The sequence below is a fragment of the Homo sapiens genome, chromosome 14, assembly GCF_000001405.40.
Source record: "Homo sapiens chromosome 14, GRCh38.p14 Primary Assembly".
Taxonomy (NCBI): domain Eukaryota; kingdom Metazoa; phylum Chordata; class Mammalia; order Primates; family Hominidae; genus Homo; species Homo sapiens.
Window position 1 is genome coordinate 40,796,536 of NC_000014.9, and position 16,605 is coordinate 40,813,140.

At 35.4% G+C, this 16,605-nt stretch overlaps 1 long non-coding RNA gene across 4 annotated transcripts in view; it reads left to right on the plus strand.

Moving 5' to 3' along the window:
- LOC105370467 (uncharacterized) overlaps nt 1-16,605 on the plus strand; it is a 186,853-nt gene that overhangs the window by 97,311 nt on the left and 72,937 nt on the right. For 2 of the 4 annotated variants that reach the window (XR_007064132.1, XR_007064130.1), the window contains exons 4-5: nt 8,913-8,981; nt 11,791-11,882. This is a non-coding gene — a long non-coding RNA (uncharacterized LOC105370467). The remainder of the gene's footprint in view (nt 1-8,912; nt 8,982-11,790; nt 11,883-16,605) is intronic. The other 2 variants (XR_007064131.1, XR_007064133.1) reach the window with 1 other exon arrangement.

Genomic DNA, 16,605 nt, shown 5'->3' on the forward strand with positions numbered 1-16,605 from the left:
AGCCTGAGCTGCACTTTGACCCCTTTAAGCCATGGCTGGAGTAGCTGTGACGCAGGTCACCATGTCCCTTGGCTGCACAAAGCAGGGGGGATATAGACCTGGTCCAGCAAACAATTTTCCCCTTCTAGGCCTCTGGGCCTGTGATGGAAGGTGCTGCTGTGAAGGTCTTTGACGTGCCTTGGAGACATTTTTTCCATTGTCTTGGTGATTAACATTTGACTCCTTGTGACTTATGCAAATTTCTGGAGGAGGCTTGAATTTCTTTCCAAAGAATGAGTTTTTCTTTTCTATTGCATCGTCAGGCTACGAATGTTCCAAATTTTTATGCTCTGCTTTCTCTTGAATGCCTTGCTGCTCAGAAATTTCTTCTGCCAGATACCCTAAATCATCTCTCTCAAGTTCAAAGTTCCAAAGATCTCTAGGACAGGAGCAAAATGCCACCAGTCTCTCTGCTAAAGCATAACAAGAGTCACCTTTGCTCCAGTTCCCAACAAGTTCCTTATCTCCATCAGAGAGCACCTTAGCCTGGACTTCATTGTTCATATCACTATGAGTATTTTGGTCAAAGCCATTCAGCAAGTCTCTAAGAAGTTCCAAACTTTCCCATATCTTCCTGTTTTCTGTGTCCTCCAAGTCTCTAGGAAGCTCCAAACTTTCCCACATTTCCCTATCTTTTTCTAAGCCCTCCAAACTGTTCCAACCTCTGCCTGTTACCCAGTTCCAAAGGTGCTTCCAGATTTTTTGGGTATCGTGAGAGCAGTACCCCACTCTACAGGTAGCAATTTACTGCATTAGTCTGTTCTCATGCTGCTAATAAAGACATACCTGAGTCTGTGTAATTTATAAAGAAAATATGTTTAATTGACTCACAGTTCATCAGGGCTGGGTAGGCCTCAAGAAACTTACAATCATGGCAGAAGGGCAAGCAAACATATCCTTCTTCACATGGTGGCAGCACGGAGAAATGCAGGACAAAGTGGGGGAAAGTCCCTTATAAAACCATCAGATCTTGTGAGAACTCACTATCACAAGAACAGCATGGAAAAAACCCACCCCATGATTGAATTACCTCCCACCAGGTCCCTTCCATGACATGTGGGGATAAGGAGTGCTACAATTAAAGATGATATTTGGGTGGGGACACAGCCAAACCATATTACAGGATTTGTTTCTTTTTCAAACAGCTAAGGGCAAGCTAGAGAAAAGATAGAAAGTTAGACATATATTGAAGGGAATAACTAAAATAATTAATCGTGTTATTTAAGGTGGATTGAAGGAAAATGGGAATGTGTGGTAAGTGGAGTACAGTCACAGGATAGAAAAGATCTAAGACCCCATTGATGTCCAGGAGTTGTATTCAGTACATGACAGAGAATTGAAAGGAGATCATTGAGTGCTTGACATTATCTGTTACCAACAGTTTTAAGGTATGTGTATGTAAATAAATATTTTAGGCAGAGTGAAGGACAAAAATAGTTTTAGTGGATGTTAAATGACTAAAGTGGGTTCAAGAGCAAGTAGGAGTATAAAATTGGAAACTGCAAGTGTAAACAACTGTTTCAAGAAAAATATTCTAAAGGGAAGGAAAGAGAAGATCATAGGAAGACAGAAAGTCAATGATATAAAAAACCTCTTTCCATTACTGCCATCTTCAAAGTAGTTGCATTTTGAATTTGAACACTTATTACAGTTCTAAAAAAACACATTTTATAAATGAAGACATAAGTAATGGAATTTTTCTGCTAATCATATTTGTGGCTATAAAGAAGGGCAATCTGCCAGGTGTGGTGGCTCATACCTATAATCTCAGTAATTTAAGAGGCCATGGTGGGAACATCACTTGAGGTGCAGTTCAAGACCAGCCTGTGTAACATAATGAGACCTCATCTTTACAAAAATTCTAAAAAATTTTCCAGGCATGGTGGAGCATGTATTTACTCCCAGATAATTGGGGCGATAGGGTAACAGAATTGCTTGAGCCCAGGAGTTTGAGGCTGCAGTGAGTTAGTTCACACCACTGCACTTCAGCCTGGGCAACAGAGTGAGACTCTCCCAAAAAAAAAAAAAAGAAAAGGGCAATCATCAGAATAAATACCTTCTAGTAGATTATTATTAAAATTTCATCATGATGTGCATAATTTAATAGTATCAGGAAATCTGGCAGGGCACATTGGCTCACACCTATAATCCAAGTACTTTGGAAGGCCAGGGCATGAGAATTTCATGAGTCCAGGAGTTCAACACCAGCTTCAGCAACATAGTGATAACTCGTCTTTAGAAAAAATTAAAAAGAAAAATTAGGTGAGCATGGTGGTGCCTGCCTGTAGTCCCTGATATTCAGGAGTCTGAGGCAGGAGGATCCCTTGAGTGTAAGAGCTCAAGACTGTAGTGAGCCATGATTGCACCAATGCACTTCAGCCTGGGTGACAGAGCCAGACCCTGTCTCAGGAAAAAACATCTTTATATAAGTTAAGGGCTATTTTTGTCCTAACCAAAGGAGTCCATTGGAGTCAATATTTTTTAAATAAGAAAAAATATGAAAAGGGGGAAAAAAACTCTTCTATGTTTTTCTTGGATATAGTATCCTTTTTAGTATATTTTAATTGTAGTGTTAATATTTAGCTTACTTGAATAATATGATACTTGTCAAATGGAAAGTATGACCTGTTTGAATATTCTTAGGGTTTTGAAGTGTGTGCAAGAATAATGTTAGAGTACTAAATTTAACATTCGGGAAGAGTCACTCTGCTTCAATACAGATTATTTTATCTCTAGGTGTTTAAAGATTTTTCAATTTCAAAATTACCAATATCCTTTGTAAAATTAGTAATTGTCCATAGCTATAATTATGTACCTATCAACTGGTTCATGCACTTGGAAATATACAAATTAATTCAATTTCTGTTTAACTTTAATAAAACTAAATTATGATATACATAGGCACACATAAATTTTTGTTATGATTTGCAATTTGTAAAATAATATCTACAATCACTATTATTTTCCAAATGTCATCTTTTAAGTAAAATCTAACACAACTTCAACATTTTTCTTCTTTTGGACTCTTTCATGGAGTTTTATGCTATTATTAATTTTCACACCTAAGTGACCTATTTATAATTTTATTTGTAAAAATATTATTTTAATTGATTAAATTAAGATTTTTTCACTTTTAGAAAAAGTGAAAAAGTAGAGGTTTATTTTCATTATTTTACTTTTCCTTCTAGCTAAATAATTAATTCCTTTTCCTTCTAGCTAAATAATTAAAATGTAAAAAGATATTTGTACATCTTTTCTCTTCTTATAAGAGAAAAACCTAGTAAAATAAATTTCATCCTCAATTTAAAAATTACACTGTACGAACTCATATATTAGCAGCTGAAGCCATAGTATGAACAGAAGACACTCTGAAATAAAGTATCGAAATATCAGGATTTGGCTCTTTAACTGATTGTATTAGTTCATTTTCATGCTGCTGATAAAGACATACTAGAGACTGGGAAGAAAAAGAGGTTTAATTGGACTTACATTTCCACATGGCTGAGGCGGCCTCATAATCATGGCGTGAGGTGAAAGGCACTTCTTACACAGTGGCAGGAAGAGAAAATGAGAAAGATGCAAAAGCGGAAACCCCTAATACAACCATCAGATCTCGAGAGACTTATTCACTACCATAAGAACAGTATGGGGAAAGCTGCCCACATGATTCAAATTATCTCCCACTGGGTCCATCCCACAACACATGGGAATTATGGGAGTACAATTCAAGATGAAATTTGGGTGGAGACACAGAGCCAAACCATATCATTCCACCCCTGGACCCTCCAAGTTTCATGTCCTCACACTTCAAAACCAATTATGCCTTCCCAACTGTCCCCCAAAGTCTTAACTCATTTCAGCATTAACCCAAAAGTCCACAGGCCAAAGTTTCATCAGAGACAAGGCAAGTCCCTTCCACCTGTGAGCCTGTAAAATCAAAAGCAAGGTAGTTACTTCCTAGATACAATGGGGGTACAGGTATTGGGTAAATACAGCTGTTCCAAATGGGAGACATTGGCCAAAACAAAGAGGTTACAGGCCCCACGTGAGTCTGAAATCCAGTGGGGCGGTCAAATTTTAAGCTCCAAAATGATCATCTTAGACTCCATGTCTCACACCCAGGTCATGCTGATGCAAGATGTGGGTTCCCCTGGTTTTGGGCAGCTCTGCCTCTGTGGCTTTGCAGGGTACAGCCTTCCTCCCAGTTGCTTTCACCGTCTGGCATTGAGTGTCTGTGGCTTTTCCAGGTGCACGGTGCAAGCTGTAGGTGGATCTACCATTGCGGGGTCTGGAGGATGGTGGCATCTCCTCACAGCTCCACTAGGCAGTGCCCCGGTAGGGACTCTGTGTGGGTGCTCTAACCCCACATTTCCCTTCTGCAGTGCCCTAGGAGAGGTTCTCCATGAGGGCGCCCACCCCTGCAGCAAATTTTTGCCTGGGCATCCAGGCATTTCCATACATCTCCTGAAATCTAGGTGGAGGTTCCCAAACTTCAATTCTTGACTTCTGTGCACCTGTAGGCTGAACACAATGGTGAAGCTGCCATGGCTTGGGACTTCCACATTCTGAAGCCACAGCTTGAGTTCTACATTGGCCCCTTTCAGCTGTGGCTGGAGCAGCTGGGATACAAGGCACCAAGTCCCTAGGCTGCATACAGCACGGGGATCCTTGGCCTGACCCATGAAACTACTTTTTCCTCCTGGGCCTGTGATGGGAGGGGCTGCCATGAAGGTCTCTGACATGCCCTGTAGACATTTTTCCCATGGTCTTGGGGATTAACATTAGACTCCATGCCACCTATACAAATTTCTGTAGCTGGCTTGAATTTCTTCTCAGAAAATGGATTTTTCTTTTCTACTGCATTGTTAGGCTGCAAATTTTCTGAACTTTTATGCTGTTTCCCTTTTGAAACTGAATGCTTTTAACAGCACCCAAGTCACATTCTGAATGCTTTGCTGCTTAGAAATTTCTTCTGTCAAATACCCTAAATCATCTCTCTCAAGTTCAAAGTTCCACAAATCTCTAGGGCAGGGGCAAAATGCTGTCAGTCTGTTTGCTAAAACATAACAAGAGTCACTTTTGCTCCAGTTCCCAACAAGTTCCTCATCTCCATCTGAGACCACCTCAGCCTAGACCTTATTGTTCATATCACTGTCAGCATTTTTGTCAAAGCCATTCAACAAGACTTTGAGAGGTTCCAAACTTTCCTACATTTTCTTGTCTTCTTTTGAGTCCTCCAAACTGTTCCAACCTCTGCCTGTTACCCAGTTCCGAAGTCACTTCCACATTTTTTGTATCTTTTCAGCAATGCCCCACTCCTGGTATCAATTTACCATATTATTCCATTTTTATGCTGCTGATAAAGACATACTCAAGACTAGGAAGAAAAAGAGGTTTAATTGGACTTACAGTTCCACATGGCTGGGGAGCCCTTAGAATCATGGCAGGAGTCAAGGGCACCTCTTACATGGTGGCAGCAAGAGAAAATGAGGAAGATGCAAAAGCAGAAACCACTGATAAAACTATCAGATCTCGCGAGACTTATTCACTACCATGAGAAAAATATGGGGGAAACCAGCCCCATGATTCCTGTTATCTCCCACCAGGTCCCTCCCACTACACGTGGGAATTATGGGAGTACAATTCAAGATGAGATTTGGCTGGGGACACAGAGCCAAGCCATATCACTGGTATTTTTAAAGATTAATAGAACAGAAACTACTATATTGACTGAGGTGAATGAAATTATGTGAGTAAATGACATAAATAGGGAAATCCAATAGAGTTAATGTCAATGTGGGAAAATCCTGGACACTAAACTAGCATAGAGAATAAAGTTCATTTTTAATAATTTATTTAATGTGTAAATTGAACAAAAAATATATATGATACATTTTTTTTTCTTTTTGAGACGGCATTTCACTCTTGTTACCTGGTTGGAGTGCGGTGGCACGATCTTGGCTCACTGCAACCTCTGCCTCCCGGGTTCAAGCAATTCTCCTGCCTCAGGCTCCCGAGTAGCTGGAATTTTATAGGCCACCATGCCCAGCTAACTTTTTGTGTTTTTAGTAGAGACAGGGTTTCACCATGTTGGCTAGGCTGCATTTGAACTCCTGACCTCAGTTGATCCATCCATCTCAGCCTCCCAAAGTCCTGGGATTACGTGATACATATTTTTAAGGTTCTTCTGTTAAGGTAGACTTCACAGGATTTTATTATCCCACGACCATATCCCTGATTACAGGCATTTCAGTATGACATTTAATTTAAGAATCTTTCAGAAATATTAACATATTTGAACACAAATACCTTATTAGGAGGATTTGTGAATTATTTTTTGCATCAAAATCTGATTTTTGTAATTGTTAAATACACTGAATACAGTCTGAGTGAATATTTGAGCAGCTGGGAAAAACTACCAGGGTAGGTCAGAGTGTTTAGGGTTTAATGTGTGACAAGAAAAAGTACCTTTAGATAATTATTGAAATTGAACAGATATAGTTTCTGAAATAGAAACATATGGACACTAGACTCAGGACAGAGTGGCAATAAATACACAAATAAAAAGAAAAGATGAAGTTAAAAATGAATTGTTCTAATTCACAGTCTTGCCTGAGCACAGGAGTACACTAATTTCTTGCAAGATCTAGCTATCTTTTCTTTTTGTAAAAATCACTTATCACAATATGTCTATTTTTGGAACTTTTCGATTTTGATCAGGTCTCTGGATTTAGAATACTTTTAAATTGTCAAAATGATTTGACCATTCTATTTTTAAAAAAGCATATCATAAATTCCAAGGTTATGTTTGTGATTATGTAATAATTAAGGATTTAAATTTTACAATGAGAAGAACATATATAAATCACAGACTAAATGAAAACAGACTAAATGGTATTATTGTATCAATAATATCTTGAGTGAATTATTCATATTATCTTGTAATGAGTAAAGGATAACATATTGTTTTCTTTTACTGATGACAATGTTAGATAATTTCTTTTGTAGCACTGTTTCATGTGTATTATAGAATGCTAGGAAAAATAAATTTTTTTATTTAATTCTCCATTTCTTAGGAAAGGAAATGGAAAGAATTTGTATCTTTTTGCTTTGAAAAGCCAATATACATAAGCATTTAAAATTTTTTAACTTTTTAAATATGTGTATAATGTTTCACTCACCCATAAATGTAACATTGAACATAAGTAGCCTTTAATTTTATCATTTTTAGGTAAATTTGTCAATTATGATTTACTAAATTTCACTAATGCTAAAATATTAAAACTGAAGATGTTAGACACCTTTTATTACGCTATATGCTCACATGATTTTAATACTAACACATCTAAAATTTATTTACGCAAATTTCTATTGATTAAAGAGAAAGTATAGGAGAGATGTTATTGATACTTATTTCACAGTCTATTTAATACTTTAGTGCATATGTCCAAAAGATGAAAAGTAGCATAAACAGCATTTTTCCTTTCATGTATTTTACCATAAAATTCTGTATCTGACACGTTTCCGGAGAACCTATGAATTATTTTAATTCTTCCCCAAATCTGAAATTATTTTATGCAATTATTTCATGAAATTATTATATGTGAGAATTTCTTTCTATATATCCTTATCACAGATTTGAGATTTTTCAATTTCAGTTAGCGAGACAATGAGGAAAATATTTCCTCATTATCTGTTTTGTAAAGAAAGAGATTGGAACTAGCTAGAGAAAAAGATTCAAAATGGTAATCTAACTGTACTTAAAATTTTTGCAGTGAAGCCCTGGAAATGTAAAGGAACTTGGCAAAAATTAATGTTGAATTTTGGGATGGAATTTTCTATCGTTTTTATTTGGGTATCTGTGATACATGTGGACAAGAGGGTCGCTACGTGGTGTAGTAATATTCTAAGGTGTTCTGACAAAAGTTATTATTACAAATGTTATTGCTATAGAAAAGTAATTTGTTAAAACATTTGCATTTGCAAGTGAGATATTTTTCTGTTTATAAGTAACAAAATTAAATCATATTTCCACAATAACAACTATTTTTTTTTATTCTGTGGACCATACAAGTAAATACAGCATGTGAAACCCTCCAATATTGTTCAGTGAACAAGCTATATACATCTGTGGTGGCTCCAAATATAGAATATTTATATGAAAGTATAAACCAAATGGATACATTAGTAAGGAAGCAAAATCTATTTACAAATTTATATTTTAAAAATACATTTACGTATTATGAAGAAACATCAGACAAACAAAATGAGGGACATTCTACAAAAGACCTAACCGGTACTCTTCAAAAACGACAAAGTCATTGTGAGCAATGAAAGACTAAGAAATGTCAGATCACAGAAGATCTATATGGTATGATTAAATGCAACATGATAGCATGGATTGTATTATAAAACAGAAACAGGATTATTTGGAACATTTGGTGCAATCAAATCAAATCTATAGTATAGTTATGGCATCAAAGTTAAGTTTTTTGTTCTGATAAATATATCATGGTTATGTAAGATTTTCAAGATGAAGGGAAACTAATTGAAGGGCATAATTCTCAGTATTATCTATGCAACTCTTCTAAAAATCTGAAATTATTTAAAACACTATAGACAATGCTTTTGAAATGATTGCTTGTATTTAAATTTACTATCTAATACTTTGTTTACAGCATGTGGAGTAGGCTCCAAAGCCCTATTTTGAGACATGCCTAATCTGGGAAAACCACATTTATCTATCGTAACAAGCTGTTCAGCGCCATGTGATGGCTGCAGGAAAGAGTGATCTTATGATAATCTACTATTTACTGACAAACCAAAATATGTCCTTGAGAAAATGGTCATTATTTTATTTATTTACTTCACAGATGAAGTCAAAGATACTTGAAGCAGAAGCTGTATCTGAGGAAGCTGTATATAAACCCAATTTAAAGCAAGTAAGTAGGTCAATATGATTCCAGAAAACAGGCATTGCCATTAGAAGACAATTATTTAGTATTCACAACCTTTTTCTTGGGACATTTAAAATTAGAAACAGATTGGAGCGGTATGTCTGCATGTATCATCCAACTAACAAAACAACAAATGCCTTAGGTAAGATGGCTCATTTCAGAAAGATATTTTTAAATGAGATTGAGTAGGACTGGGGCAAAATATCTTATAGGTAAGAAAAAAAGAGTACGGATTCAATGGCTAAAAGAAAGAACAAACAAACAAAAACAAAATAGAAACAGAAAAAAAACCTGCCAGAAAAGAGAAAACAATCCTAGGAATAGAGTATTCATTAGAATATAAGAGACTAGTAAAATTAAATTGTAGAGATTAGGTAGAAACTTAAATACAGAAAATTATAGTGCTGAATTAAAAATGAACTTTTATGAATCCTGAGTGCCCAGTCATTCCCACAACTCTACATGTCAGTGGAACTTGGATATAACAGAGAACTGGACATTGTGACTGCCACATGATTATACTTAAAGGCATGGTTAAATAATCTTAATGAAAAATACCCTGAATAGAGATGTACTCAGAATGTTGAAAAGAAAAAAAAGACTAGGGAAAACAATTAATAATCTGGCTTTTAATTATCTGTATGTGTGTGTGGAACTAAGATAGAATAAAACCCTAAATGTCCCACTGACTAAATTGAGAGTAGTGTCCCAGAAGTAGCCTTTCCTATATCCCACTCTCTGGATAGCAAATCGGTGAAGGAGGATTTTATTTCCAATGTAAGCAGTAACTAGCATCAAGTGAATAAAGCTAGCCTAAATTTTTACCCTACATTCAAAGCAGATTTTTTTCCAAAGGAAACAACAATAAATATGGACTGAAATGCAAATTTAAGAAATTATTTGTCTTTAATTTTATATGTTAATGTACTTGACACATTTTGAACATGAGAAATAACTTATACTAATCATTTTTATTTAAATGCACTACTTGCTTGATTGTTCTTTATAAATGTGTAAGAAACTGTATAATGCACTTGATAAAAAAATACAAACAAGTACAGTACAAATCAGAACAAATGAGCTCCCTAAGGCCAAAAGACTCTTTAAACACAAAAATATTCAGCATGGAAATATTGCTTCTGGCAGACATGATGGAGCAAAAGTATGTTTTCAATTAGATTTAATAATCTGGTTACTATATTTTGTATATGATACAGAGAGCATTTTTCCATTTTATGTATTAATATGGATATATTAAATAAAAGCTTCTAATCTTATTCTTTATTTTAAAAATATTTTGCTTTTGGTACTAGGAACTATCATATTAAACTACTTTTTCTCCTAGAGTTTTTCTCAGTAATGTAGCTTTGGCTACATTAATTGAAAAGTACTTGGTATATTTTATAGCAATCTTGCTTTATTGGATAATTTCCACTATTCTTTCTCTACAGTTGCATCTTAAGACTGTTTATATTAAAATTATAATACATGAAACCTGATGGCAATAACTTTTCCTACACATATGTGAAACAGCTGAAGAGACTATAAAACTTACAGTTTTTAAATTGTGTTTCAGCAGTGAATAGAAGTTTAGAGTGGGAGATAGACAACTACCTATTTTGATGAGTGTAGGATGGGGGCAAGTACAACAAATATGGCCCATGGAACAAATATGGTCTCTGGTGAATACCAAGATGGATAAAAAAGGAGCCTTTGCCTGGGCAACGTGAGAAACCCCATCTCTACAAAAAAAAAAAAAAAAAAAAAAAAAAAATTCCGTGATGGTGCAGGCCTCTAGTCCCAGCTACTGGGGAGGCTGCGGTGGGAGGGCCACTTGAGCCGGGGAGGTCTAGGTTGCAGTGAACCACAATTGCACCACTGCATTCCAGCCTGGGTGACAGCTGAGACCTTGTCTCCAAAAGATCAAAAATAAAGAATGAGCCTTGAGATGGTCCCCAGGCCGGGTGTGGTGGCTCACGCCTGTAATCCCAGCAATTTGGGAGGCCAAGGCGGGCGGATCACGAGGACAAGAGACTGAGGCCATCCTGGCCAACTTGGTGAAACCCCGTCTCTACTAAAACTTCAAACATTAGCCGGGCGTGGTGGCGGGGGCCTGTAATCCCAGCTACTCAGGAGGCTGAGGCAGGAGAATCACTTGAACCCGGGAGGCAGAGGTTGCAGTGAGCCGAGATCACGCCACTGCACCCCAGCCTGGCGACAGAGCGAGCCTCCGTCTAAAAACAAACAAAACAATGACAAAAAAGACTCTCCAGTATCTCCTAGAAAGCTGATAGTTAAACGTCAATTACCTTTGGGAAAATTTTGGCTTGTTTTTATGGGACCTAATTTCATCCCCACTTCTCTTCTAGGAAAAGTGTTGCACCCATGTAAACTATAGGAAGCAAAATAAAACGTAACGAGAAAAATAATTTCACCCATCCCTTTCTTCCACGCTGCTCATTTCCTTCCACAGTTTCTTTATTATATCATAAGCCAATTTTAAGAAATATGCTATATGGCATAACATTACAAATGTTACTGCAGCTTTTCATGTGTGCTACAAATGGATGAGAAGAGAGACCCCACCCACGCACAGTGTATGTTTTGATTAGTGCAAGAACACAGACACTTACAGAAGAGTGGAGCAGATGGAGTCTGTCTTTGCAAAGCTTTCTCTGACTCTGGAATCCATAATGGTCACCCGGATGCAAATTGACCTGTCGTTCTAGGGTAGGGTTATGCAAGTTCAGGAGAAGTTTGGTGGTTGCAGGCTCACAACTCTTTTACATTCAAGGTTTAACCTGCTGATTGGGAAGAATTTTTATGAAAAGCTGTGTGCTTCCTGATAAGAAAAAAGGCTTTCCTGTTTCGATCAAACCAGAACCAGTAAGTACATATTGTTACTTAGGGAAGAAAAGGGCATTCTCAAGATCAGGGATCCCTTGATATCTCTTCCACCAGGTTTTAATCAATCTCAAAGTGCCATTTACTTTTAGTTTTTTATGGAACCCGTTGTATAGATTTATTTGCAGCTAAATATATAAATCCAACTTCTCTAGTGATTTTCCTTGTGCAAGTTTGGTGAATGGTATCATTTGATATGCAAAATCTGTTCTATCTAGGGGCAAGTTCCCCAAGGCTCTTTGTTGCATAAAGACGTCACCTTGTTTCTGGATTGAACAGCCAAAGTCTGTGCTGGGGATCTTGGCTTCAGGAGAACTAAAGCAGGGATTTCTCAAAGGGGTTTTATGTCCTTCTAATCATATAGTCACATCAGCCTATCTAACCAGTCATGCCAGATGAAAACCGTTAATAAACAACATGATCCTAAGGGTTGCCAGAGGAATTTCAAATTTCAAACAGCACATCATGAGTCCCACTGACCTTAAGTTTACCAAAAGTCAAAGCTGGACATCCTAGCTTCCTCAGTGACAGAGACTGAGCTTTTTTGAGTCTGGCCATAAATCAGCTTTATCCTTTGCAAATGTATGTTAGTTTTTAAGTTAAAGTTATACCAAGTACATGTATAATTTTTTAGAAAATCTTAATGTTCTACCTTATACTATCAATTTGACAGGCTACAATTACTGTTATAAGAGATTATAAACAATATTTACCATACATTCTTACCCTGAGAAAACCAATGTCATATATGTGTACAATATAGTAATATCTTACATATAAAAGTTTCTTTAGGTTTTGAAGTGTTTTCATCGGCTTTTATTTCCTGCTAAATTTTCTGAGTTCATAACATAAGGTTAATAATTGCCATGATCTGAACGTTTGTGTTGCCCCAAAATTCATATGTTGAAATCTTAACGCTCAAGGTGATGATATTAGAAGGTGGGGCCTTTGGGAGTTGATTAGGTCACAAGAGCAGAACCCTCAGGGATGGGATTAGTGCCCTTATAAAAGAGGCTCTAGGGAGACTCCTCACCCTTTCTATTAATACCATGTGAGGACACAGCTAGAAGATAATTAGTCAAATTAGTTCTGTGTTAATTGAAAAGTGCCAAATATACAATAATTATATTTGTGATAGTTTATTTTAAACATAACATCAATCACTCACTCCCAATTTTTTTAGTGGAAAGATGTCGAGCTAGATTTAAGTGTCATCATGACTATTTAATTACATTTAAATTCTCAGTTTTCTCTGGCCGCATTATTTTTGTCTTTGTCTTTGAACAATTAAAACACTTATCACAAAATGTCATTGGCAAACCCAAAACTAAATGAACTGAAGTAAATTAACTACACATGCATATCAAATACTTCTTTGATTCAAATATGAGGTTAACTCAATTGGTATGGTGGAATGTCAGAAGTAAAAGTGAAATTTTGGCTGCATTGCCCAAAACACCTGAATGCTGTTATTACTGATGAAATGTGACAAGAGACAACTAGACTTACTCTTATTAAATTGAAAAGCTTTAGAGATGAGTTCCTTTAAAAGCAAACTGATTACACGAAAAACTTTCCAGTCTTTGGAATTGATTATTTGAAGTTTATCTGAAAAATATGAAGTTGGCATGGGTCACGTTCTACTTTTTGTTGTGACAGATGATTTTATGAAAAAACTCTTACTATTTGGTTTAAAATGTTTGAAATTTTTTTATTGTAAAAATATATTGTAACTCGTTGCAGTGATCATAAAATATAACAATGAAAAAATGAAATTTAAATTGAACTTCTTTATAAAAATAAATTTACTAAATTCCATCAATCTGAGATATTACACATTAACATGCAGTGTATTTTATATCTTCCTAATAAGACACTTAAATGTTTTATAAATTCTAAAAAATACACATTATACTCAATGACATATAATTACTCAATCTCCAAAGAAGGCTTTGGAATACATATTTTTAAAATGATGCTTAATGCTAACCAATTTATTTCCTTTTTATAACAAGTTGAAAGATTCAAATCTCAGAAGAGTTTTGGATCATTCAGAATGGTTTCATTCCATTTATACTTTATTCTTGCTATGTCAATTAAAATGTATTTCAACTTTATGTAATAACTCACATGAATGAGTCAGATGCTAAGTGAGGATTAGGGTATGCTGTGATAGTATTTTAACCTAACAGGAAACAGTATCTCTAAAGGAAATATATGAAAAAACAAGAGTAGGGGATTTAAACTCATTATTCTACCAATTTGTTTTTTGATATTCAATAAATCTATTAATCTGTTTTAAAAGATTTTATGTGGTAAAATTGTAATACAAGATACTAATTGATTTAATGTACATTGGTGTGTGAAAATTACAGTTATGTTATTCTTTTAAGAGGAGATTTTAATTTGCTTTTTTGGAAACTGAAATTATTATCCCCAAAAAGGAAGACAGAGAATAATATTTTTTAAAAGTGCACTAAAGTAAGAAAGAAATGAGTAACCCTTTTTAATACAAGTATCCTCATAAACATCTACTATCGTGACACACATGGAATGGGGTCTCAGAACTGTGGAGAGAACACTCAACACAATAAATAAAATAGACTTGTACTCAATAAGTAGTAATAGCATCATTCACATTGCAACCAAAACATTATTGTAGTCTTCACAACAACCTTGTTTTTAAAAACCAAACTAAATAATGCAGAACAGTTGATTTTTGAATCTGCATTTCAAATTTCAATGAACTTATATTTAGAGAAGTTTAGAGGCATTTCTCAATAAAATGAATGATGTTGTATTAGTTCAGACACCTATTTCAGTTTAAGCTCATATGCGTACATGTGTATACATATATTAGTTTGGGTTAATATATATGAACTATATGAACTATAACTAAAATATATATTTTTATATTTTATAAATATGAAATAGCGTAGGGAAGAGGATTGGGGCTAATAAGACATTTTTGTTACATATACATTCAATAAAATGGTTTATTTTTAAAATGAATGTTTAAAGTTGAAAAATTAGAAGCTAAGTTTATCATTGCTATAAAACTCATCTTTCACACAAGTCTGCCACAATTTTCAAGACTGTGTATTTTCCTGAAAATTTTGCACATATAAACTATGAGAAAAATTGTTATAAATGCTACAGAGAAAACAAAACTACTTAATGTAAGAAAGAATGACAAGAATAGTTTGCTATTTTAGGGAGGGTGTTCAGCAAAAACCTTTCTAATGTGAATTGTGTCAAGACCTGAGGGCAGTGATTGAGCAAGTTGTAACAAATATTTTAAAAATAATTCTAGGAACATGCTGGATATAGCAAGAAAAAGTAAGACAGCCATGTGGCTAGGCATAGTAAACAAGGAGTAAAGTAGTAAGAGTGAGAATTGGAGGCCCATGGGAACAATATATATCAAGGTAAGAAATTTGGCTAATATTCTCACTGTGATAAAAGTCTTTGTAAGACTTTTGAGCTGAAAAGAAAATAATAGCAGCACAATTTTTAAAGGATTACTCCAATGATTGTGAAAAATAGGTTCTAGTAGAATGAAAGTGGAAACTTGAAGGGGAGTTTGGAGGCTCTGGCAGTGATCCAGTCCAGAGATGATGGTGGCCTAGTGATGATATGGTGGTACATCATCAGATTCAGGATACTTTTCATGAGTAATGCTAAAGGAAACTTCTGAATGATATTTGAGGTGTAGAACGTGGTAGGAAGAATGAATTTAAGAATGATTACAAAATGTTTAGGTTGAGCAATTGGCATCTTTTATTGACTTGGTAAAGCCAGCAGAGCCACTGTTTGATGTGGGGCTTAAAATGAAAGATGCTGATTATTTGTCTTTTGTGCCTGGCTTATTTAACTTAACATAATGTCCTCCAGGTTCATCCATGTTGTCTCAGCTGACAGTAGTTTATTCTTTATTCTTTATTTATTTATTAACTTTTAAAACCCAAACCAGAAATGGTCAATGAGGATTTCCTTCTTTTTATGGCTAGTTTGTTTTGTGAACATATATCACATTTTAAAAATTTATTCATCCTTTGATGAATGCTTAGATTTATTCCATATCTTGGCTATTGTGCACTGCTGAAATAAACATGGGCATGCAGATATCTCTGACATAGTAATTTTATGGAAACTATGTTAGGTAATGCATGTTGTAATTAGCTAGATTTAACCATCCCATAATGTTTGCATACTTTTAAATGTGATTTTGTACCTGATAAGTACATACAATTTTATCTGTCAATTTTAAATAACTAGCTAACTAACTAAATTTGAAAATATTGAATGTTTATTAGACATACAAATAAAGATGCTTTGTAGCCAATCAGTTGGATATACATACTTTTTGAGTTAAAGAGATATAAATTTGGATTCCTCAATATAGATGGTGTATTGGTCAGGGTTTTCCAGAGGGACAGAACTAATAGGATATATGTATAAATTAAAGGGAATTGATTAGGGAGAATTGACTCACATGATCACACAAGTCCCACAATAGGCCATCTGCAAGCTGAGGAGCAAGGAAGCCAGTAGTGACTCAGTCTGAGTCCCAAAACGTTAAAGATAGGGAAGCCGGCAGTGCAGCCTCAGTCTGTGGCTGAAGGCCTGAAAGCCCCTGGCAAACCACTGGTGTAAGTCCAAGAGTCCAAAAGAGAGACTTGGAGATGTTTGAGGGCAGGAAGCA